The 26,428-nt window shown below is 35.4% G+C and overlaps 1 pseudogene across 2 annotated transcripts in view, besides 2 other annotated features; it reads left to right on the forward strand.

Annotated features, from left to right (window-relative positions):
* Nucleotides 1-26,428, forward strand: part of BAGE2 (BAGE family member 2 (pseudogene)) — a 104,778-nt pseudogene that overhangs the window by 22,632 nt on the left and 55,718 nt on the right. For both annotated transcript variants that reach the window (NR_169269.1, NR_169270.1), the window contains exon 3: nucleotides 18,006-18,168. The product of NR_169269.1 is annotated as a BAGE family member 2 (pseudogene), transcript variant 1 (transcript). The remainder of the gene's footprint in view (nucleotides 1-18,005; nucleotides 18,169-26,428) is intronic.
* Nucleotides 11,006-11,300: a silencer, noted in NCBI's record as "tiled region #1956; K562 Repressive non-DNase unmatched - State 25:Art". NCBI's record gives its function as "represses a minimal TATA promoter and a strong SV40 promoter by Sharpr-MPRA in K562 cells {active_cell/tissue: K562}" and the evidence as "EXISTENCE:reporter gene assay evidence [ECO:0000049][PMID:27701403]".
* Nucleotides 16,681-17,464: an enhancer, noted in NCBI's record as "OCT4-NANOG hESC enhancer chr21:11058865-11059648 (GRCh37/hg19 assembly coordinates)". NCBI's record gives its function as "activates a minimal SCP1, AML or CMV promoter by ChIP-STARR-seq in primed H9 embryonic stem cells {active_cell/tissue: H9 hESC(primed)}" and the evidence as "EXISTENCE:reporter gene assay evidence [ECO:0000049][PMID:30033119]".

The following is a 26,428-nucleotide window of genomic DNA, read 5'->3' on the forward strand; positions in this document are numbered from 1 at the left end:
GTAAGTTTTTCAATGGCTTGTTAGCCAAGCAAGGAAAACCATTACCAACAGTAGTTAATTAAATTATGTTTTATTATGGTAACCAAAGATGTGTCCGTAGAAAATAAACTTTAAAAAAGACTATTAGCCTTTCAGTGAGAGTAATTGCTCTAAAAGTTAAGGACATTGGGAGTAATATCAAGTCATTTTGGAAAGAAGGGTGAATGATTTTTCATGGTTTTCTTAGGCTTTTGATGGATGAATAGGTGTTACCAGTACTGTTCAGTTGTTACATATTCCAGAAGTCAGTGCTGAGTTTGAAGTGATTGAAGAATTAGTATTTATGCATAGTCTATGTGAAACAAGTACAAGAGAAAATATTTTCAGAAAAGTTGAGCAAACACTAACTTAGTACAACCTGAAGTGGAATCCGCTAAGATGCGTTACAGTTGATAGTGGCAAAAATAACTGTGGAGCAGAAAGACTTGAGTTGGACAAATTTACAAAGCTTGTTAAATGTCAGGTGTTTAAAGCCTGATTATTTATTGTATTATTTATTAGCAGGTACTTTGCAGAAAATATTTAAATCTGTCATGTTTTAGTGAACTATTATATAATAGTGTCAGCAGTGATTTTGACTTGCATTTGTGGACTTTATCATCAAATCCTATGAATTTTTGTTAGATATAGAGGCAGAATATACTGAATTGCCATTATACAGAGCAATTTAATGACTTGGCAGTGGTAAAGTTTTATTTCAGTTTTTTGCGCTGAGGAATGAGATTGAAATTTTTCTGAATAATATTGCCCTCAACTGTTAAGTCAAATGCTTAATAGCTTTGAAAGTTGGCTTTTCCTATAGATTTCATAATATTTTGTAACAAATTCACCTAAAATTACAAGGCAGAACAGTGATTATAAGTGAACCTTATACTGTGGTAAGGTCACTTCTACAAGAATAATGAATCATGAAAATCAAGAGAAAGAACAAATAGTAGGAAAATATCTTCCAATTCCTTTTGGCCCTTCATATTTCCACCTAAACTCATAAGCTTTTAAAAAGATAATTATTTTTATTTATACTTAAAAAGATAATATAGGATAATATTTTTGTAAAAGAGTTCTTGAGATACAGCACTGAATGTAAAGAAAATATTGGAGCATTCAACTACATTTGAGAAATAACTTCTGTTTATTAAAAGATACCGTAAGAATGAAAGCACAAGCCCTAATGAATATTCCTGTTTGATACTAAACCAAAGCTTGAGAAGTGGTAGTTTCTCAAGTTTTTCAAGTGGTTTGGTGCAATCTGAAGACTGCAATCCCATCAATGAACTTTATATCTTTACCCTTTAAAATTATAATTTATGGGCTGGGCGCAGTAGTTCACGCCTGTAATCCCAGCACTTTGGGAGGCTGAAGCGGGTGGATCACGAGGTCAGGAGCTCAAGACCAGCCTGGCCAAGATTGTGAAACCCCGTCTCTACTAAAAATACAAAAATTAGCCAGGCATTATAGCAGTCACCTGCAATCCCACCTACGGGGGAGGCCAAGGCAGAGAATCGCTTGAATCCAGGAGGTGGAGGTTGCAGTGAGCCGAGATTGTGCCACTGCACTCCAGCGTGGGTGACAGAGTGAGACTCCATCTCAGACAAAAAAAAATATATATATATATATATATATATATAAAATTTATTAGACTACCTTGCAATTTCAGGGGATCTTTTACCCATATATGATTTTATTAGATTACTAAGTGGTCTTTGGAAAATATTGATTCACTGAGTGATCCAGATAGTCCAACTATTCATACGGTTGTTTTTGTTTGTTTGTTTTGTTTTGTTTGAGACAGAATCTCACTCTGTTGCCCAGGCTGGAGTGCAGTGGTGCGATCTCAGCTCACTTCCATCTCCTGGGTTCAGGTGATGCTCATGCCTCAGCCTCCTGAGTAGCTGGGACTATAGGCATGCACCGCCAGGCCCAGCTAATTTTCGTATTTTTAGTAGAGATGGGGTTTCACTATGTTGGCTAGGCTGGTCTTGAACTCCTGACCTCCAGTGATCCCAAAGTGCTGGGATTACAAGTGTGAGCCACCTTACCTAGTCCTACATATTTTTAATAAATAACAAAATTCACATTTGTTATAATCGACTGATCTCATCAGAAAAGTCTTTAAGTATTGGAATTAGTTAAGCTTACATTGTTGGTTGTAAGTTTTTCAGATCTTATTGTCCACTCATGTTCTAAGTTGTTTTCCTTGAAGTGACAGGCTCACTTTATTCATTTTTGAAGAAATATGTCAGATAATCAAGTTTTAATAATTGTGGTTTGTTGTTCTTACATGTAAAAACAGTGTTCCATGAAAAAAGCAGTTATTTCAGTTTATAAATCACATGATCACAAATTCTTTCCTCAAGAAAAACTATGGTGTAACAATTATTTTATGCTTTATTTCTCGTTTTGTCACATAGATAATTAAAAGATGTGTATTCATGGATCAAGACTTAAAACATTAAAGATTTTTGCTGCTTCATCAGTGATATTCTCAATGATACTCTACATTATTTTTACTGTAGTTGTAGTGCCAGTTGAGAATGTGACAACTTCTAATACAGCTTGGTGCCAGCTGCCTTCAGTTTTGGAAATGCATCAACAGTATTACCCACCATAGCTTTTGCACCATGTAACAATTTTTGCTTCAATTGTTAAACATTATTTTGGAAACTCAAGGAACAGTAAAGTCTGTTTTATTGCCCATATTTTTACTATTTGTTTGTTCTTTCTTCCTTCAGGATGTTCTGAGAATCCTTCTTTTTATCATTCTCCTTTCTGGTTCAATAACTTTTCTCACTATTCTTTTGCTGTAGTTTTGTCTCATGACTAAGTTTTAGTTCTCATTCATCTCACAATTTCTTGATTTCCCTTTCATTACTAATGGATGTTTTTGCTGGATATAGAATTCTTTGTTGTCGGTTCTTTTAGGACTTGCAAAAATGTTATGCTGCTTTGTTCTGGCCTCCATGGTTTCAGGTGAGAAATCTGCTGTCATTTGAGTTGTTTTTCATCTGTGGATAAGGTGTCATTTCTCTTATTTATCTCAAGGTTTTTAAGTTTAGTCATTAGTTTTCAGAAGTTTATGATATATATTAGCATTGATTTATTTGTGTGTATCCTCTTAGGATTTATTCAATTTCTTGAATCTGTGGGTCTTCGAATAATTGTTCAGCTGCATCATGTTCCTTTTCTGAGATTCCAGTGACAGGAATGTTGCATCATTTATTATATTCCCACAAGTGTCTTTAATGCCTTTTTTTAAAAAAAATATGTATTTATTTGTTTATTTATTGTCAGAGTTTTGCTCTTTTGCCCAGGCTGGAGTGAAGTGGTACGATCTCAGCTCACTGCAGCCTCCACCCCTGGGTCTAAGTGATTCTCCTGCCTCAGCCTCCTGAGTAGCTGGAATTATAGGTGTGTGCCACCATGCCCAGCTAATTTTTGTATTTTTATTAGAGACAGGGTTTTGCCATGTTGGCCAGGCTGGTCTTGAACTCCTCACCTGAGGTGATCCACCCATCTCGGCCTCCCAAAGTGCTAGGATGACAGGCCTGAGTGACCGCACCTGGCCACTGTTTTTTTTTTTTTTTAATCAGTTCATTTACTTCTCTAGGTTGGGTAATCTCTCCCATTTTGTTGTTCAGTTTAGTTTGTATTTTATTATTGCTAGCATATTTTTTAATTTTCAACTTGGTATTTGTTTCTTTCTTGATTTCTTTGTGAAACTTTGTATTGTTTCCTTTGTTTCAAAATTAAGTTTGTAATTGCTTTTTTTTTTTTTTTTGAGGCAGACTCTTGCTCTGTTGCCCAGGCTGGAATGCAGTAGAATGATCTCAGCTCACTGCAACCTCTGCTTCCTGGGTTCAAGTGATTCTCATGCCTCAGCCTCCCAAGTAGCTGGAATCACGGCGTGAACCACCATGCCTGGCTAATTTTTGTATTTTTAGTACAGATGGGGTTTCATGATGTTGGCCAGGCTGGTCTCGAACTCCTGACCTCAAGTGATCCAACCACCTCTGCCTCCCAAAGTGCTGGGATTACAGGCGTGAGCCACTGTGTCCAGCTGTAATTGCTTGTTGACGCAGTTTTATAATATATAGTTTAAAATCTTTGATAGATAATTATGACCTCTATGAATTCTCATTGTTTGCACCTTTTGACTATATTTTCAAATTCCTGTTCAGATTTTCCTGGTTCTTAGTATGGTATGACATGGTATATTTGGTTGAATCCTTTGCATTTTAAGTGTTGTGTTATGAAGCTCTGCATTTTATTTAAATCCCCCCTTTTAGTAGGATTTATCTGAAACTTTGCTTTTGGGGTGGAGGTGGGGCACAGCCTTGTTACTACTCCCAGGTGTATGTGAAGATTCCAGTTTCATAGTAGGCCTTTGTTGACTCACTGATGGAGACGTACACCTAGTAAATGCTGAGTAGGAATGAAAACTCTGGACTTGCATTATACCTTTGTGAATACCACCCTGGCTCAAAAGGTTCCTGCTTTTCACTTGGCCTCCACTGACACTGGGATGGAGGGGTGGTTAAGTTATCACTGAGCAGTGCTTTGAGTTTGGATTCTCCAGTAGGCCTCTGCTGTCATATCTCTGTAGAGGGAGGGATAGGGATATGTCCTTATCATTGGGTGGGTGTTGAACTCAGGCTCCCCACTTTTTTTCCACCCACACTCTAGAGGGAGGAAGCCGCGTTACTGCTCAGTGGGTATGAGTGTCCTGTGTCCCCACTTGGCCTGCTGTGGTATCATGTTGTCTGTGGGTAGGAGTGGGGAATGGCTGACTATGTCCTCCTTTTAAGTCTTTGCAAAAGGTATATGGCTTGGGGTTTTATTTGTACCCTTTGGCTTAAACTGGTTGGTTGTTGTCTGTGAGTTTTTTTTTCTTGGTAGCCTGCCGCTTCCCTGCTTTTTTGACAAGAGACAGCAGAATTTTCTTGGAGTTTTATGTATGTGTGTGCCTGTTGGTGTTTCTGAGTTGTCTGCTTCTCTAGCAACTTTTCTTGTATATATGAGTCAGAAAGGAAACCTAGGGAATTCATCCTCTTGTGTTTCTTGGCACCTGAAGCCCTAATTGGTCTGCCCTCTCTCTACATTTTGTTGTCTTCCTTTGTTTGTCTTATGTATCACGGCCAAGGGTTTTTAAAGCTGTATTTAGTGGAAAGAACAGGGAAAAGTACATTTTCTGCATTTTGCCTGGAAGTGGAAGTCTGCATGCATTTTTGTCTTTTTTTCCCTGAATATAGAGTTCTGGGATGATTATGTTTTTCTTCTTCAAGCATTTAAAAGATGTTGCATTGTTTCCTGTCTTCCATGGTTTCTAATGAGAAGTCAGGTGTGGTGTCAGTATCATTATTCCCATGTATATAGTAATGTTTTGATATTCTCTGGCTGCTTTCAGGATTTTCTCTTTATATTTGGTTTTCAGCAGTCTGACTATGATGTGCCTAGGTGTGGTTTTCTTTGTATTCATCCTGCTTGGGGGTTGCTGAGCTTCTTGAAAGTGTAAGTTGATATTTTTCACCAAATTTGTGAAAAGCTTGACTTTTATTTCTTATTCTTTTTCTGTCTCATTTCTCTCTCCTCTTCCTCTGTAACTCTAATTACATGAATGTTAGTATATTTGATATTTTGTAGGTTACTGAGGGTCTGTTCGTCTTCTTCCCAGTGTTTTTACTTTTAGTTCCTCAGAATAGATACACTATTCATGTATTTTCAAGGAGATGGACCAATTTTCTACCAATCTCTTGTTAAGCCCATCCACTAAAATTTTCATTGAAAGTACTATACTTATTAGTTGTAGAATTTTCTTTTCTTTTCTTTTGAGACAGGGTCTCTGTCGCCCAGGCTGGAGTGCAATGGCGCAATCTTGGCTCACAGCCACCTCCACCTCCCAGGTTCAAGCGATTCTTGTGCCTCAGCCTCTCAAGTAGCCGGGACTATAAGGTGCCCACCACCACACCCAGCTAATTTTTGTATTTTTAGTAGAGGTGGGGTTTCACCATGTTGGCTAGGCTGCTCTCAAAATCCTGGCCTTAGGTGGTCCACCTTCCTCGGCCTTCCAGAGTGCTGGGATTACAGGCAGGAGCCATCGTGCCCAGACTGAAACTCTATTTAAATATAGATTTTAGCCAATGATATTCCGCTTTTTTTCCAAGGGTAAAATGTCCTCCCATTCCAGCCAGTTTTTGGTTATTTACAGGTAACTTCAATTAGTTAGCTTTTACATTTTCTTCAGATTTGAGACATTTTAGGAAAGTTATTCTGATATTAGCCCCTATGCTGTTACCCAATAAATAAATAAATTTATGTGTGAGAGTCATTGTTTTGTTAAGGTATATTTTGCATACACTATAATTCACCCTTTCTAAGGTGTGTATTGAATGTGATTTGGTAAATATGAACAGTCATGTAATTACCATCATAGTCAAGATACAGAATAGACCCTTTACCCATAAATTCGCTCATGACTTTTTGAAGTTACTGCCTACCTCCCACTCCAGCTCCTGGCAATCACCGATCTGTTGCTTTCCTATAGTTTTGCCTTTTCTAGACTAATATATGAATGGAACCATACAGTATAGAATCTTTTCCATCTGCCTTTTTTTTGCTTAGCATAATCGTTTTGAGATTGGTCCATTCACTAGCTTACAGTTAAGTTTCGTTCAATTTTTGGCCAGTATATAAAGCTGCTGTGAGCATTTATGTAACATGCTTCGTTGTAGATGTATCTTTTCATGTTTCTTGGGTAAATACCTAGGACTGGAATTTCTGACTTGTTGGAAATAATATTCTTAACTTTGGAAAACAGTTTCACAGTTTCTTAAAAAGTGTCTGTATACTTTTCCATTTCTAGAGATCTGAGAGTTCCATTTGCTGTACATTGTTGCCAGCACTGGATATTGCCACTGTTTCTAAATTTTAGCCATCTGGTTGGCATTTAGTGACAATTTATTGTGGGTTTGATTTTGCATTCTCTGATGATTAATTAGATTGAGCTTCTTTTTATGTCTTTTTTTTTGCCATTTGTGTATCTTTGGTGACATGTCTGTTAAAGTATTTTGTCTCTACCACCATTTTTTTCCAATTGATTTGCTTGTCATCTTCTTGAGTTCTAAGTTTTTTTTAATATATTATTCACAGAAGTCAGTTATTGGAGATGCATTTTATAAATATTTTTGCCTAATGTGTGACTTGTTTTCATTTATTTAGCAATGTTTATTGAACAGCAGAGGGTTTCATTTTGATGACATTTGTCATTTGTTAATTTTTTGAAGTTGAAAAAATTATGCTCTTTATGCTTTATTAAAAAATCTTTGCTTGCCGCAGTGTTACTTGTAGGTTTAAAAAATCCATTTATGGTTAAATTACACATATGATAAGAGAATACGAGATAAGATTCATGTTTCTTTGTTTTCCATATGAATTATTTGGCAGTTCCAGCATCATTCTAAAAGATTATTTATTGCTCTCTTGAATTACCTTGACCCCTTGCTCAAAAATTAATTGAATATGGGAAAGTTTGCCTATTTCTGTATTTTCTGTTCTTCTGACTTATTTATCTCTCCTTTTACCAAAACCAAACATAAAAAAGATTTTTTTTTCAAAATCATGAGTTGATATTTATGTTTTCAGTTTAATTCAATAGCACAATTACATATCTTTAAAACAATTTTATACCTGTAGCTAAGCTATGGTTGTATATCTTCTTTTAATATCATCTTTCCTGTAACTGAAAAAGTCATTAAAAGAAGAAAAGATTATTGTTTTTGCTTCAATTTCAAAGTAATCAAAACTAAGTGTACTAGTATTAAATAGTTAAAGCTAGTAGATCAATAATGAAATTTAATGTTATTGCTTTTTGCTATATTTTTTGAGTTTACTAGTGATGTAAAAGATTTGAGTTATTTGCTGTGATTATATAAATACTCTTTTGATGCATAAATCAGCTGTTAACATCATGTTAATTTGTGGCATTAATAATTTTACTGATAGCCCTTCTGTGATTCTGATTTTTGGCAGTGGTTTTTACCTGGTAAGTAGCATTTTGTCAGCTGGCAGGTACTGGAAATCTGCTTTATCACTTCTTTTTTTAAGAAAAGTGGAAAACACAAACAGTTTGTTCACCAAAGTTATATTTCAAGGATTCCATTCAACCAGAATCTGGTTCACCTTATTGACTCAACTTGGGGGTATATGTACTAGATTTTTACATACATCTGTTTGGAGAAACTCGTTTTATCTGTGTAATGTTTGTAAGACCAGAAGTTCTTTTACTGTTCTTGAAATAAAACTTTTAAGAAGCTGAGTATTCTTCTGTTAGTTTCAAATTTGGACTAAAATTACACCAAGGTTTTGGACTAAAGAGGAAGCAAATAATCTGTTCTTATGTTCTTAAAAGACATGATTTAAGTGTATCCAACTAGATTCTTAGTGTGTCTGTGTTTACTCCTACTCAAATGAAAGCTTTTAAATTCTTTCCCACTTTTTGAAGTATTTAACTCTTCTGTAATATGCAGTGTTTTCTTATTAACTTTAAAGTTGTGTTAAGCAAACGTGTTTAAATTAATATTTCAATTTCAAAAACCCTAATTTGAAACAATAAATTTTATCATTGTATACATTATGAGCTTTTAAGAATAACCAAAAAAATGAGGGTGGATGTTTTATGTGGAAGTTATGTGTATCCCTTTTCTGCTTTTGGCTAAGGACAGATACCTTAGAATTAGCTTTATGGCGCAGTCATCTATCTGATTATTTCAGTTAATATCATCTTAATATAATACAGGTTACTTGAGAAGAAAAACTCTTAACCCAGTATTGGAGAGATGCCAGGTAGGATACTAACCTTGATAGAGGATTTCATGTGAGAAAGAAAAAGGAAAATATTTTCCATTAAAAGTTGAGTTTTTATCTAAAATTCTCTTGATTTTCTAAAAAAACTTAATTTTTCTAAAAATATGTTGAAGAATTATATATAAAATTCACTTTGCTATATATATAGAGCAAGTGAATAATAGGTACACATTTCTAGGAATACCCCAAATATTAGAACCTATATACTAAAATCACATCAGGAAACAAATAATAGCGCCCCAGACATTCCATTCAAGCCTCCTGTTGGTTACTATTCCTAACTCCCCAGAGACATGCACTATCATCTAGTAACAACATAGGTGAGTCTTGCCTATGTTTGTACTTTGCGTAATTGGCTTTGTACTTCGTATAATTGAGCTACTAAGTCGTTTATTTTTCTCATTGATATATAGTATTCTGTTGTTAAGAGTACTATAATTTATTTATTTTACCGTTGGGCATTTTGAGGACTTTCAATTTGAGGTCATTATGAATTGTGTTCTGTGAACATTGCAGTACATTTCTTTTGGTTGACACTGAGAGTATTATGGATTCTAACCCCAAAGTGGCTACTTTCTTTTCTTACTTTCTTTTTTACTTTTTATTTTTTTGAGACAAAATCCAGCTCTGTCACCCAGGCTGGAGTGCAGTGGTGCAATCTTGGCTCACTGCAACCTCCACCTCCCGGGTTCAAGCGATTCTCCTGCCTCAGCCTCTCAAGTAGCTAGGATTACAGGCGTGCACCACCATGCCTGGCTAATTTTTGTATTTTTTTTGGTAGAAATGGGGTTTTGCCATGTTGGCCAGGTTGGTCTCGAACTCCTGGTCTCAAGTGATCCGCCTGCCTTGGCTTCCCAAAGTGCTGGGATTACATGCACGAGCCACCGTGCCTGGTTATATGTTATTTTCTTACAACCTAAATAAAAACCATTATGTAAACAAGACAAAATACTCAGTACATTTCCATAGTCAATGAATTTGTCTTTATTACTTGTATATAAATAATTATGAACTCCTTGAGTTCAGTTCCTTTTTCATTTCCTGACTCTATGGACTTGAACAAGGAAATTTAACCTCTCTGCTTCATTTGTAAAATGAAAAATAGTGATATCTACCTAAAGTGGTGGTGGTTAGATGGGAATAAAGTAATTTCTTTGTTTTTGTTTTTGTTTTTGTTTTTGTTTTTGAGATGGAGTCTCACTCTGTTGCCCAGGCTGGAGTGCAGTGGCATGATCTCAGCTCACTGCAACCTCTACCTCCTGGGTTCAACTGATTCTCCTGCCTCAGCCTTCCAAGTAGCTGGGATTACAGGCACCTGCCACCAGGCCCAGCTAATTTTTGTATTTTTAATAGAAACGTGGTCTCGCCATGTTGGCCAGGGTGGTCTAAATCTCCTGACCTCAGGTGATCCACCCACCTCTGCCTTCCGAAGTGTTGGCATTACTTGCGTGAGCCACTGTGCCTGGCATAGATGGGAATAAAGTAATTCTTATAAAGTACTTGGCTTAGCTGCTGGCAAATAATAATGCTTACTGATTCTTGCATATTACCCATAGTTTATTGGCTAACTTTATGTCTTCCTTAAATTATGAAATTCTATAAAGTATCCTTGTCTATTTTAAAATTATACTCATTTTTATAACTTACATGCTTTATTTGTATATATCCAGGATACTAGATATTTGTAATCCAAATTGGAGGTTATTTTTTGTCATTTGATTTTTTTTTCTGTAATGTGTGTTCTCACCACATAGAAGTTTTTACATTTTTATGTAGTCAGATTTATTCATGTTTTTATTTATGGTTATGTTAAAGATTATAGCTATTAGGGACCTATTTCTTCAGGGTTTATAATTTATGTATGTTGTTACAAATAGAGAAATTACTTTTTCTTTGACCCAATAGGTAGAGGGCACTTTTGTGGACTCAGAAAGCTTGCCTCTCCTATTTTATTTTAGGAAAATTTCTGAGATTCTGCCTCCTCATTTCCAAGCCAGAGTTTAAAATATTTACATTTTTACTTCATAGTGTTAAGACATTGTGTAATGTAAGTATAATGTGTAAAAAAAAATCTTAAAAATCTAATAGTGATTTGGCAGAGACCAAAGCATGGAGGGCCTTGAAATGCTGCTCTATTTGTTATCTATTATTATAAAGCAACTACCATAAACTTAATATCTTAAAACAGCACCCATTTACTTAGGTCAGAACTCAGGGCAGGCTCAACTGTGCTCTCTGTTTAAGGTCTCACAGGATTCAAATCAAGGTGTTACCTGGGTGGAGGCTCCGGGGGTGAATCCTCTTCTGGGGCATTCAGATGTGGGAGGAATTCAGTTCTATGCAGTTGTAGGGCTGAGCTCGCCATTTTCTTTTTCTTTTTTTTTTTTTTTTTTTTTTTTTTGAGACAGAGTCTTGCTCTGTCGCACAGGCTGGAGTGCGGTGGTGCAGTCTCGGCTCACTGCAACCTCTGCCTCCTGGGTTCAAGTGATTCTCATGCCTCAGCCTCCCAAGTGGCCGGGATTACAGGCGTGCACCACCATGCCGGCTAATTTTTTTTTTTTTTGTATTTTTAGCAGAAACGGGGTTTTACCGTGTTAGCCAGGATGGTCTCGATCTCATGACCTCGTGATCCTCCTGCCTTGGCCTCCCAAAGTGCTGGGATTACAGGCATGAGCCACCACACCCTGCTGAGCTCACCATTTTCTTACTGCCTATTGGCTTGGGTCACTCTCAGTTCCTAGAGGCCACTCTTTGGTTTTTGCTCCTGGCTCTTTTTATCTTCAAAGATAGCAACAGTGTATTGAAATGTTCCCTTGCTATGAATTTCCCTTTTGCTACTAGCTGGAGAAAACTCCAGCTTTCAAAGAGGTTATTTGATTAGATTAGGCAAATCTCCCTTTTGATTAATGCAAAGGCAGTTGATTGGTGGCTTTAATCACATCTGCAGAATTCCTTTGCCATATAATATATTAATGGCATTATCCTTGCCATGATATTTCATCATATTTACAGCCTCTGTATTAGGGTAGGAAATTTGGTGGGGTTGGTGGTATGTGGGCATTTTAGAATACTGCCTACCACACATTCTGTATTGAGGGGTTTGCGTGTGATTCAGAATATATTTGTATTCCTTTAGAAAGATTGCTGTGGAAGCAGGGAGGAGGATGTGGCAGAAAGGAAAGATACTGGCAGGAGAAAAATCCCACTCTTAGCAGTCTCCATTTTGATTTTGTAATGTCGTTTGATGTTATTTAACAGATGTTTCAATCAGAAATGTGTGTTTAATAGTATGCCAACTAGAATGATTAACCTGGACCAGAACAAGAGTCATAAGCCAGTCATTGAACTGTTCATTACTTCAGGTCAATTCATATACAGAATAATTTCATAGATTAGGTTTTATTTCAGTCAGCTTTATTTCACTTTCTAAAGTGAAGAGTTGTTTAAACCTCGGATCTCATTAACAGCATTTTAATAAACACAGTATTAGGGTGGGTTTACTTCCCTAGATGGCGAATCTCATGGATTATATGTTGATTCTTATTGGCTTAATTTTTGAATCGGGCATTATTTATTGTAATTCTTTAGTCTTACAGTTTTGCATGTTTGAAGCTATATTTTTTTCCTCTGAATACCACATTTGCCACATCTCAGAGATATTTTTGATGTTTCTTAATCATTTAAAAATAATACATGATTTTTCTTCTTGATTGAAACTCTGCCGTTATATAGAAAGGACTTTTAAATTTTGCCAGTGGATAGATTTGGGAGTTTATCCTTATATTATGAATTTCTAATTTTTATTGTATTAGGTCTAGGGACGCATCTGCTTTTACTGGATATAACCTAGGAAATACCTGCTTTTTAAAATATGTGGACATTTCTTTATGACCATACATGTGAAGTTTTTTTGAAAATTCTATGTACATTTGAATAGGATGTTTTCTCTATTTTTGGAATTCAGAGATCTGCGTGTATTTTATGTGTCTGTTTGAATCAAAACCGATCATTGTTATTATTTATTTCATATCTACTTAATATCCTCATTTGAGAGCTATGTTAAAGTCTAATCTATGCATGTTATTTCTACTCAGCTTTACTTTCTATATGTGACATATATTTATTAGGTGTATAAACTAATGACTATGGCTTCTTTTGGAATTTACACTGCAACATAAAACTTACGTTATTATAAATTATCTTTGACTTGTTCACTGCTTTTTAGTTTAAATTCTGTTTCTTTGCAATTATTGCTATACCTGCATTTTTTGGATAGCGTTTGTGTTTTTTCCCCTCAAGTCTGTTTTTGAATTGTGTATGTCACTGTGCATTGTGCATATGTATGAATATATATGTATGTATATATATATATATACAGCCGCTCCTGTGTTGCTGTAAAGAAATACCTGTCGCTGGGTAATTGATAACAAAAAGAGGTTTAATTGGCTCACGATTCTGCAGACAGTACAGGAAGTGTGGTGCTGGCATCTGCTTCTGGTGAGGGCTTCAAGAAGTTTGAAATCATTTAGCCGGTTGCGGTGACAGGTGCCTGTAATCCCTGCTACTCAGGAGACTGAGGCAGGAGAATCGCTTGAACCTGGGGGGCGGAGGTTGCAGTGAGCCGAGATCGGGCCATTGCACTCCAGCCTGGGCAACAGAGTGAAACTCTGTCTCAAAAAAAAAAATAGATAATAAATTTAAAAAAAAAGTTTGAAATAACGGTGGAAGGAGAAAGGGGAGCAGGCATCTCACATAGCAAGAACAGGAGCAGAGGAGATGGGTGGAGATGCCATACACTTTTGAACAACCAGATCTTGTGAGAACTCACTCGTTATCGCAAGGACAGCACCAAGCCATGAGGGATTTGCCCCCATGACCCAAACACCTCCCATAAGGCCCCACCTCCAACATCGGGGATTACATTTCAACATAAAATTTTGGCGGGGACAAATATCCAAAGTATTTCATTCATTTTATATTATATATGTGTACACACACACACATACATAAATGAAGTCTGTAGTATAGTTACATGTAAAATATGTGTATGTGTTAAGTAGTATATTTTGCATATTTTGAAAGTTGCTGTCTTTTACTAGAGAATTTAAACTATTTACATTTGTTATCCGTGGACTTGAATGTTAGCTTAACAGACATTAAAATTTTGGTTTTAAATAATTTCTTATAGACCTAGGAAAATAATGATTTTTTGGGGGGTTTCTTTTTAATTCAGTATTGGTAATGAGAACTGATGCCCGATTCTTCTTTTTTTGTAATGATCTGTTTTCTTTTTTATGTGGCTCCAAGAATTTTCCTTTTATCCTTGTTATTTCAAACTTTCTGGGAAGTTTTTACCTGAAGCTGCCATTCAGGGAGTTTAAGGAGGCATTGTTACAGATCAAGAGTGAGTATTTTTGTAGGGATACAGAGATAAGTGGAACAGTGATAATGACTCTTTGGGTTTTAGATTCCTCATCTGTTGAATGAGGATTATGCTTAATTAAATGTTAGCTTTTATTATTAGATATATACATAACTTTTCCTTTAGAATTTTGGTGATTATAATCCCTCCTATTTTCTCCCTTTCTGGTACTCATATAAAACAGACGTTGCACCTTCTGGATCAGATTTTCATGTCATTCTACCTCTTTCTCTTGCTTTCCATCTTTGTTCTTTATTACTGCATCCTGGGAGAATCCTAGTTGCCTAACACTAAAAACAGATTGGTGAAGATTAAAAACAAATTTGGAGCATGGGGAGCCTTACAATACTTATTTATTGGAGCACGTAGCCTAAAACCATTGCTATAGTTGGTACAGAATAAATACTGGATAATTAATTAAATGAACTGTGGAATATTTAACTTCTTGGTATTTTTTTATGATACAACTTTAATCTCAGAAATTTTGTTCATTCTGTTGTGTTTTATAGATACATTTTGACAGATTATTTCAATCTATTAAATAAAAGTTTTGAAAATTCCTCAGACTCATTCTTAAAATTGGTAATATGAGTTCTCACTGAGTTTTTGTTGTTCTTATTGTGTTCTTGGATTAATATGGGAAAATATTTATAACATGTTACTTTTTTTCCTTTTCTTACTCCCTGTCTTTTTAATGACGAATAAAAGTAAAAAGAAAAAATGCTGTCTAGGAATTTTCTTTATTGATTCAAATAAACCATTTAGTTGATAAACCATTTAAGGGCTTTTTTTTTTTTTAATTTTTATAGACAGGTTCTCACTTTTGTTGCCCAGGCTAGAGTGCAGTAGCGTGATCACAGCTCACTGCAGCCTCAACCTCCTGGGCTCAAGCAATTTTCCCACCCCAGGCTCATGAGTAGCTGGGACTATAGGTGCATGCCAGCCACCATGCCTACCTAATTATTGTATTTTTTGTAGAGATGGAGTTTCACCACGTTGCCCAGGCTGGTTTCGAACTCCTGAGCTCAAATGATCCACCTGCCTCAGCCTCCGAAAGTGCTGGAGTTAAAAGCGTGAGCCACCATGCCCGGCCAAGAGCTGTTTACTTTATCCCTCCTTCCCAAATGTTAATTAGCTTTGTAATTGTTACTTATGTATTATATATTACTTATTATATTATTAATATTTTAACTTGCTTGATTTCTTTTATGTGTAGTGTATAAGAGTGTTGACATTTGAGAAGTTCCCTGTAGAAATCTATTCTTTGATATTGTCTATGATTTTACAAGTCCTTTTTATTTGGTTTAGGAAGATACATTCCAGACTGTGTATATATAGTAAACGTTTTCTTTTAATGCCGAGTGCTCTTCATTAGCTATTTAATTGTAACATATGGGTTTGAAGCGTTCCCCTAAATGTAGTGTTTTATTTTCCTTCTTTTATTCACTGATACCTTTATATGATATTGTAAATTAGTATGTTAGATATATTCCAGTACTTTTCGTATTAGTTTAGCTAATATAATATTTTTCATTGCAGATATGATTAAGAGAACATATTGGTGTTTCTAAAATGAGAAAGACATTGAGAAGCTGGTCAATTTAAATTATTTTCTGTTATTATATACTTACCTCTCATTATATTTTATCTGCCAAGATTATTTTTAGTGCAAAAGGCTTCTGCAAAACTTGCCATATGGTATCAAAATAAGCGATTTTAGATTTTAACAATTTAGCAGAAATTAGTTATGCTAATGAGTTGTTATAAATATTTTTCAACAGATTGATTGTACTTTTTCTTTCGACATTTACGTGAACTTTCTGTTTGGACATTTAGACTACCAAGGTGTTGTATTTGCAGTTAATTCTGGGTTCTGTTAATGCACTAAACATATTTAGATACCTTGGGAGTTACAATATAAAAAATTACCTGTTTTGTAAAAGCTGGTTATTACACTTTATCAATGAAGACAAATATTTTTTCTGTGTTTCTAATACATTAATACCCTTGAGTGCCAAAATAGCACTGAAATGTTATTCTGTATACTTATAAATATTATATAAAATTAAAGTGTCACAACAGTAATTAGTGTTTATGAGTTATTTAGAAGCTTCTCCTGCTTCAGCCTCCTAAGTAGCTGGGACTACAGGTGCCTGCCACCACGTCCGGCTAATTTTTTGTATTTTCAGTAGAGATGGAGTTTCACTGTGTCAGCCAGGATGGTCTCGATCTCCTGACCTCGTGATCCGCCCGCCTTGGCCTTCTAAAGTGCCAGGATTACAGGTGTGAGCCACTGGGCTGGCCAAAGTTTTGTATCTCTTTCTTTTCTTCTTTCTGATTCGGCCCTCAGGAGTCATTTAGCTTTGTTATGTTGATTCAATGCAGTAGACTGATGACAGTGAGGAAGAGTTTGATAGTATGTGAAATACAGATTTACACATAAAACATTGAAAACAATTATAATTTTAACTGCTGTAGTCCCTGGTTAATTAGCAGAATATAAAGTCAGTGTAGTAACATGTGAAGATATCCACAGTAATGTTAGCAGGGTCCAACTGTCTCTGCTACGTGAGGCTCCAGTTATCTCAGCTAAGCTGTTTATGAGCCACACTCACAAACAAGATCACCAAAAGTTAAGACTTTTTGGTATATGTATAGGAACACTTATCTATTAGGGCCTGTTTGAAGCAGCATTTTTGGTGCTTTGGATACAAAGATAGTATGGTGCCTCAACTGAAGGATCTTGGATTAGGATGAGAAAAAGATAAACTGATCATGTAATGGCATAAGCAAGTAGGTACTATGTAACGGTGTAAACAAAAATTTATGTTAGATAGTCATTTCCCACAGAGAGATTTCATACTGTACAGTACAGGGCCCATCAGACTCTCTTCAAAGAAAATGATGCTCAAAATGGACTTGGGAGAATGAGGAAGAGTTTGTGAATCATTCTAAGGGAAAACTGAATAAGTAAATGCAACATTTTACATAATTTCTTCTGACTTCTTATGTGTTCACTTGCCCTAGACTGCCCCTCTTGTTTGGGGCTTATTTCTGTGTGTTTTACCACTTGCAAGATAATGGAGGCAGGTTGAAATGGGAAAGATACCAGATGACTAATTTTTTTCCCCCACATTTCCATCTTTTGTTAAGAAATTTGAAGTTGATTGCTACATTGAAGTATGTAGTTTTTTTTTTGTGAGTCTAACTATTTATGTCCCTGTTAACTTATAATTGATGAGTTTATTTTGTATTTATTTTTAGGCAGGGTAAAAAATAGTAATATGTCTCATAAATAATATATGTTCCTATTACTAGTTTTGGTGGGATTTAAAAACTTTATAATAATCCTCAATATAGAAACCTGCCCCTTTAACCATATTACTATTTGCTTTAAAAAAAAATCTTTAGGTTTTGTTTCAAAAATGCTTCACAATTTATTTTTGAAAATATAAGGAATGAAATTCTAACTTTCTAATTTGAATGGAAGGATGAGTTGGTAGCACACGAAGCACTAAATTGAGTAATGTAGATTTTATTATTTCTAACGAATCCTTTGTTTAATATTTTGCAGGTTCCATTTGTTTACTTGTGATGTACAGAGTTTTTTATACCTTCCCAGCTTATATTTGAATATTCCTTTTCAAGGTTTTATAAAGAGATTTCTCTCCTTTACCCCTTTCAGCGATGTGCATTTTGTAAGCACTTTGGAGCCACTATCAAATGCTGTGAAGAGAAATGTACCCAGATGTATCATTATCCTTGTGCTGCAGGAGCCGACACCTTTCAGGATTTCAGTCACATCTTCCTGCTTTGTCCAGAACACATTGACCAAGCTCCTGAAAGATGTAAGTTTACTACGCATAGACTTTTAAACTTCAACCAATGTGTTTACTGAAAATAACAAATGTTGTAAATTCCCTGAGTGTTATTCTACTTGTATTAAAAGGTAATAATACATAATCTTTAAAATCTGAGGGATCATTGCCAGAGATTGTTGCGGAGGGAAATGTTATCAACGGTTTCATTGAAATTAAATCCAAAAAGTTATTTCCTCAGAAAAATCAAATAAAGTTTGCATGTTTTTTATTCTTAAAACATTTTAAAAACCACTGTAGAAAGATGTAAATAGGGACTGTGCAGTATTTCTGACTTATACTATAAAATTATTAAAAAGTCAATCAGTATTCAACATCTTTTACACTAAAAAGCCATCCAGTTGAAGAATTAGAAGACAGTTCACTCAGGTGTTATTTCAGGATTTACGTTAATAGGAACACCAAACACTTCTGAAATTCTTGGAAATTGTGTATCCCTGATAGGTGTGATAGAAATCTCTGCTAGCACCTTTTCATGATTCATCTATCTTAGTCATCTGTAATCTGCAGTTGTGCTGTTTTTCTTTCTTTTCCAAATAGTATTTTATAATTCAATGAAAATGTTTAAATGCTTGAAATTTACATTATACAGGAAATTATAACTCTACTGTTGTATCATTAAATAGAGATCTCTCCTTTTTCTTACTATGTGTTTTCCCAATGAGCATGTATATTTTGGGATATTTTTTCTCCTAGTCTATTGAATTTCCAATCTTATTATGAAACCTCCATGATATTTTATTCAGTCTTTTTTATGTCACCTCTTAGTCACCTAATGTTAGCTTTTACCTGTTCCTTAGCAATGTTGATAAAAGCTTTTTTTCCTATCTTCTCCAGGTCTGTGAAACATAAGTATAGCTACCCCAGGCTTAAACTAATCTCAAATACGGTTAGTTACATGATCATTACCCTTTATCTTTGTTGAGTAACCTAATTTCATTTTCCATTAAAATTATTTTGTGTCCACATATGTAATCATATCACCCTTAGTAACCTAGTGTACAGACAAATTATAGGTAAGGCAAACCAAAATTTTAAATTATATTTAAGCTAATAAGGGATTTAAAGTTTTAAAATGCTTTAGATTGTACACTCTTCAATCTGGAAGAGAAGAACTTTCATGCACAGCAACTGTTGTGGCTACTATTTATGTACTGAGTTACTTCAGCAAGTGCATAAACTGGCAGTTATCAGAGTGGATTATATTCTGGGTGGCCTAATAAATATACTTTGTCATCTCAATAAAACAATTTTATGTGTATGTAAGAATCTGAATTTTATTCAGCCTTTTGTGTAGTCATGCTTTAGACCTCAGTAAACAACATGCAAACTTGTATAAGAATGTTGCTCTAATATTGGAACATTTTATTACTCAATGGCAGTGCTACTTTCTACTGAAAACTGTGTTCTAATAGTGTATACCTTCAGTTACATGTTAGTAATCATAAATCAGTTTGTAAAATAATAAACTAAATACTGAGGTGAGATAATTTGCTGTTGTTGATCATGTATATAATGAAAAGTTTATGGCAACATAAAGCTAAAAGATATACTAAAATTATGAGTACTCTGCCTTTTTCCAAAATAGACTTATGGAGACTCATAAAAATACATAAGCAATAGGATAAAACTAAAAATAAGTAAGGAAATTTGGCAATGGAAAATTTAGATAGGATAAATATGAAGATAATAGAGAGACCCCCCAAAAATATGTAATTCCAGACAAACCACAAATTTGGCCCCATACCTTTTCAACAGTCAATACAAAGAAGGAAATATGAGCCCTTAATCTGATTCTTACTATTTATAACATCACTTGATATAATGATATAATAATAAGACATCCCTTGATAGAATGCAATGAAAAATTGTCTTAAAGTAGCCACCTTGCAGTAGAAAAATACCAGTTTCATAAGGCTGTTTCTTATAGCAGCCTTCAAACTAAGTCAGTGGTATAAAATCAAGGCCTAAATGACTAAATTAGATTTCTTTGGTTTTTTTTTTTTTTTTTTTTTTTTTTTTTGAGATGGAGTCTCGCTCTGTCACCCTGCCTGGAATGCAGTGGCATGGCCTTGGCTCACTGCAAACTCCGCTTTCCGGGTTCAGGTGATTTCTCCTGCCTCAGCCTCCCAAGTAGGTGGGATTACAGGCGCACACCATAACACCCAGCTAATTTTTTGTATTTTTAGTAGAGACGGGGTTTCACTATGTTGGCTAGATTTGTCTCGGACTCCTGACCTCGTGATCTGCCCGTCTCAGCCTCCCAAACTGCTGGGATACAGAGGTGTGAGCCATCGTGCCCGGCCTCCTTGGGGATCTTAAACAGTGCATTCTAACTACACAGCGTTCTGACCCATCTGTTAAGACGATCATAATCTTGGATTAAGTTCCAAGGATATAATTTAAAGAATATTGCAGATAGGATGTTTTGTCACCTTTTTAACATCTTTTATAAATATTTCTTCCTATCCTAATTGTGTGTCATGGCAGAAGTTACTTTTTATGCTTTTAAAATGATACTGTCTTAAATCATAGTGTTATTATGAGGGTTAAATGAAAACAATGAATGGAATTCACATAAGATTGTGCCTTGTATATATTAATTGCTTTAAAAAGCATAGTTATTTTACCTCCTATCTAAAGCTTAAGTTATGAGAATGATAATACATATTGAGTATATGTATTTTCTGTTGCTTCCTAAAGGGCAGAGCAGTAGCTGTGATAGTTGACTGAGTTAGGAGTAAGGTTGACATCTTTTTATAAAAGTTGAGAAATTTAACAAAATCATGCATCTCATTATAAAGAAATCCGCTAAAGAGAGTATCTGTGAAGAAGGCCAAGATTTTCATCAGGAAACACTTTTAGGGTGCTCTGTCATAGGTAAATGGCTGGTCATTGTTGCAACATTGTTTTCATGATGATACAAGGATACGTTAACCTTGTCTGGAAATTTTACACTAAAAATCCATCTAGGAGATACAACGAGATATACTTCCTGAATAGGAAAACTGAATGGTAAGAAGCCAGTCATGCAAGATAAGAGGAAAGAACATTCCAGGGAGAGGGAACAGACCACTACACAGACCTTGAGGAGTGGACTTGGCATGATTCATGAACAGACAGCATGTCATTTTACTTGGAGCATAGTAGCCTACTAGGTGGGGGTAGTAGAGACATCATCAAGGTGAACAAAGGCTAGATCATGTAGGCTTGTAAGCAAGGGAAGGAGTTTGGGTTCTGTTCGGTCTGCAATGAGAAGTTTTTGCAAGGTTTAAACATGGAAATGCTACACATCTTAATTCACCCCCTGTTCCTCAATGTATTTACTCATCATTTAGCTTTAATTCCTTTTACTTCACTTAAGCTTTAACTCCAGCCTCTTTTCTTTGGTTATCTTTGTATTTCTTGACATTAAGTCCTGCTGCTTTTCTTTTACCCTAAATTCTGTCAGTCCTCTGACCTTTCTTATCTACCTGCCAATGATACGGTCTAGCCTCTTTGGATGACATCCGTGATTTATTTTTTCTTTCCAGAGATTCTCTTTTATAGACAAATCACTCAGCCCAGTGTCCTGCCAGTGATGAAAATTGGCAGATGATAGGGTGTGATGGAAATTAGAAAGCAATGCTGATTTGGTCCTTCTTCAATTCACACTGTATGACAGCTATTTTGACTTTTCTTGCTGTTCACCAATGCTTTTATTCTTATGTGTTGTCTGGACTTTCTTAAGCAATAGTTTCATCAAGTTTAAGGATCTGTGATAAGCTCTGTTCTAATTTAAGCTCAATGTTTTTGTCTTTTTTATTTATCTCTTCTCTTTTTACAGCTGTCTCTTAGGAAATGACCTTTTCTAAAGATGATCATTTTGTTTCCTCTCACTTTTCTCCTGCCATAAGAACCTTGCTCCCTTTACTTCATTTAGCTTCATTGTATGCCACTGTTGGCATTTCGTGTCTACTTTTGTGTATACTCAAATACTCATCACTTTCATTGATCACTAGTAAAGTTTGCTGAGGAGTCAATTTGATTAGTAGTCAAGAGCCTGATCTTAGAAGCCAAATAGACCTGGATTTTACTCCTCTCCCCTCTTAAATTATCTTTAGTTATAGCCTGTCTTTTTGCTTTTTCAACTGTTTAAAGAAAAATTTCTTAGTTGATTATTGCTTTAAACTTAATGTCTCTGGCTTACAGACATGTGTGTCTAAATATTCATATTTAATTTCTATGATGACACCAAACCTATCCAGTAGTATTGATAATCTTCTTATACACGACCTCCATAAGGTTGTTTCAGTATTCCCACACATCTTCTCTCTGACTGGGAGGGTTGGAACCAACCTCATTTCTTTGTGTAGTGCTTTTAAAAATAATATTGTTTTTCACATAAGGCATATTAAGTGTTTTTGCACCAGATGTATTACATGGATGTTTTTCTTTGACTAATTTATTACCAATGATCCATAGTAATCAGATAACACAGCAAGGTTGTCAGTAAGGAATTGGTGGAGATCATCATAGTCTAAAATGTGATTTTTGTGACAATGACAGTTGTCTTGTTGCAGAGTGAACTTTGTTGTATATAACAGTGCTGTGCAGTGTAAATATAATGTGAGCAACATAAGTAATTTTTCTAGTGGGTATGTTAAAAATTTGAGGAAAAGGAAACATTTGGGAACAATTGTAGTAAATTTTATTTAATTCAGTAATCCAAAATAGTAATATTTCAAATTTTGAGATACTTTTTCCCCATTAAGATTTTGGAATCCAGTGTGCATTTTATGCTTACTGCATACCTCGATTTGAACTAATTACATTTCACTTGTTCAGAAACCACATGTCGCTAGTAGCTACCATGGCAACTTGAAGTGTCAGGGGAGCAAACTCTAGAAAGTTTCACAGAAGCATTTTAGTGTTCCTAGGAGAGTATAATAGAAAAATGAATTGATTATCTGATAATTAGTTTCCGATAATTAGTTGAGTATTCCCCCAATTTTTAAAAGTTTTACGGTGAGCAAAAAGAGATCAATTTTTCAATGTACATATTTTGAAAGACAAATACTAGTACTCTCTTAATAATGAGAAACATAACATCCCAGTTATGTCCTTTCTATCAAAAATGAACCAATTTATGATGCTTCCATTGTTAGATTAATGATTTATTTTAAATGCCTATCACTTAAAGAGCCATTTAAAAGTGATTTTAGCAGTAAGTCCTTCACTTAAAATATGTTCAATAAGACTTGATTCATGTTAGGCAGTTGGGGATACAAAGTTAAAAAAGTTAAGGCCCCTGTCCTTCAAGGATTCACAGAGTTGTGCTGTAAATAAATGATTATGTAACAGAAGTTTCTTGTAAGCATATGGGTAAAAGTAATATTCAACAACTAAATGGGTATTTGGGTGTGGTAATAGGTATTCAGGAAATAATGTGCAGATTTTTTTTTTTTTGAGACAGGGTCTCACTCTGTCCCCCAGGCTGGAGTGCCGTGGCATAAACTCTAGTCACTGCAGCCTCCACCACCTGGGTTCAAGCGATTCTCCTGCCTCAGCCTCCTGAGTAGCTGGGACTACAGGCATGTGCCACCACACCCTGCTAATTTTGTATTTTTAGTAGAGATGGGGTTTCACCATGTTGGCCCGGCTGGTCTCGAATTCCTGACCTCAGGTGATCCATCCGCTTTGGCCTCCCAGAGTGCTGGGATTACAGGCGTGAGCCTCTGTGCCCAGCCATGAGCAGAGTTTTGAAGGCTGGGAGCACAGCAGAAAAACTAAATTTCAAGCAGAGGGAACAGAATGTGTAAAAGCACACAGACATGAATAGCATGTTATGTGAGGTGCATGGCAGACAACCCACCATGACCACGAAATAGTGAGTGGTTCTGAGATTCAGTTGGAAAGGGAGATAAGGACCTTTTTGCCTCATACTTGAAAATTCTGATTTTCTTTTGGGTGAAAAATGAGGTATTGGTGGAGTTTTAATTTATACAGAGGTTAACAATTAGATTTACATTTTTGAAAGATTGTTCTGGATGTGTAGAAAATGATTTAGAGAGGACGTCAGAACCATAAGTAGAGATGATTTGATGCAGAAGATACTGCAGTTAGCGAGACAGAGTATTAGGTAGGTGCAAAGGTAATTGCAGTCTTTGCCATTAAAAGTAATGTCAAAAACTGCAGTTACTTTTGCACCAACCTAGTATGATAGACTAAACTATAAACATATAAAGAAAGAATGATGTGTAGGAAGTTTAATACATAAGAATTGGGATCTGGCTGGATGTGTTGGGTCAAAGCTGAGTTCAGAGTCAACAATGATACTAAGGTTTCTGCCTTTATCTGTTCTTGAGAAAAATGGATGCTGTTTCGGGTTTTTAAAAAAGTTTCACTTTAGAGCAGTTGAGATTGAGTGTTTAGAACACTTGGCTATTGAGATCCAGTAAGACTTGAAGAATAAAGGTTTGGGGTTTATGAAAGAATTCTAGGGCCAATAATACAGATTTGGGAATCATGGTGGCATTTTATGGCGTGAGAGTTGATGTGATCACAAAGGGAAACTATGGGGGATTAGGAAAGAAGGAAAAGGATGAAATCCTAAGAAACTCCAGCATTTAGAAAGATTGTATAGGTACAAAAGCCAACAAAGGAGGATGAGATGAAAGTGGGGGAAAACTAAGGAGAAATTAGGAGAGAGTTGCCATGATAGAAACAAAGGAAAGGGGCGTTTTAATGTGGGAGTGGCTAGCAATGCAAATGCTACAAAGTGCAAAAAAGCCAAAGACTAAATCGGGTTTCCTATGGGCATTGGCAGCCTCACTAATGTAGCTTCAGATGAGTATTAGGTGTTAAGCCAGCCTTCGTGAAGTATGTCAGAGGTCCAGCCAGCGTCCACATTTTGAAGCCTGTTTTTGTACTGCCCTCAAGCGAGGAATTATTTTTACATTTTTAAAAGAGTGTAAATAAAAACAAAAGGTCTGACTTTTTGTCAGAGACTGCTATGGCTCACAAAGCCTTAAATATTTACTACCTGGCCCTTTTCAGGAAAAGTTTGCAGACTCCGGTACAAATAAAAGAAATATATTTTTACTCTGTTTCAAGATGCTTGACTGGAAAAGAAAGAACGTATGAGTCAGAGAGAAATTGATAGGATTGACCAAACCTTCAAAAAATGGGAAAAAGGCTGAGTGCGGTAGCTCACACCTGTAATCCCAGCACTTTGGGAGGGTGAGGCAGGAGGATTGCTTGAGCTCAGGAGTTTGAGACCAGCCTGGGCTATGTGGTGAAACATCGTCTCTACTAAAAATATAAAAATTAGGTGGGCATGGTGGCACACGCCTGTAATCCCAGCTACTGGGGAGGCTGAGGCGTGAGAATCCCTTGAACCTGGGAGGCGGAGGTTACAGTAAGCCTAGATCGCGCCATTGCTCTCTAGCCTTGGTGACAGAGTGAAACTGTCTAAAAAAAAAAAAGGAAAAATAATGGTTCATATACTTTGTGATACTTGTTAAATACAGGCATATTTATATATATTATCAAAGGTTGGTATGATAAGCTTGACTGGAAAAGAAAGAACATATGAGTCAGAATAGTAGATAGGAATGATCAAACCTTCAAAAAATGAAAAGATTCATATACTTTGTGATACTTGTTATATACAGGCATATTTTTTATACATTATCTAAGATTAGTATGATTTTAGAATACATTATTTTCCTTATTTTGCAATATGCATAAGTTTAACTGTATATTTGTCAGGGCAGTTTATCCTTATATTTTCTGTTTTATATGGTAAAAGAACTGTTAGTACATTTTCTTTTAATCCACATTTAGGGATGGATGATGTCCATAATTATGTGGATTTTAATGCTTTTACAACTAGAAATTAATATAGATGAATATAGAATTAGTATATTAAGTAATGTGTTTGTGTATGAATATGTAGCTTCTGTCTTTAATGTTCTTCCACATAAGACATTTTCCAGTAATCAAAAAAAAGCCCTTATGTGATTTGAATAGTCTGTTTATGCTTAAGAAGCATCTTAGTCTAATTGATATTAACGTTTCTTAATTTTGTCTCTTGTCTGATTTTGTAATTTCAAAATATATTTAGCATTCAAAGAAAATGTTTATGTTACACTGCAAAGCATTTCTTAGTTGGTATTTTCCTTGTTTGGTTCTTTGCAGTGAGCATATATTGAGCATTAATTAGGTATCCAGCATTATCATTGGCATT

This window comes from Homo sapiens, chromosome 21, assembly GCF_000001405.40.
Source record: "Homo sapiens chromosome 21, GRCh38.p14 Primary Assembly".
NCBI lineage: Eukaryota > Metazoa > Chordata > Mammalia > Primates > Hominidae > Homo > Homo sapiens.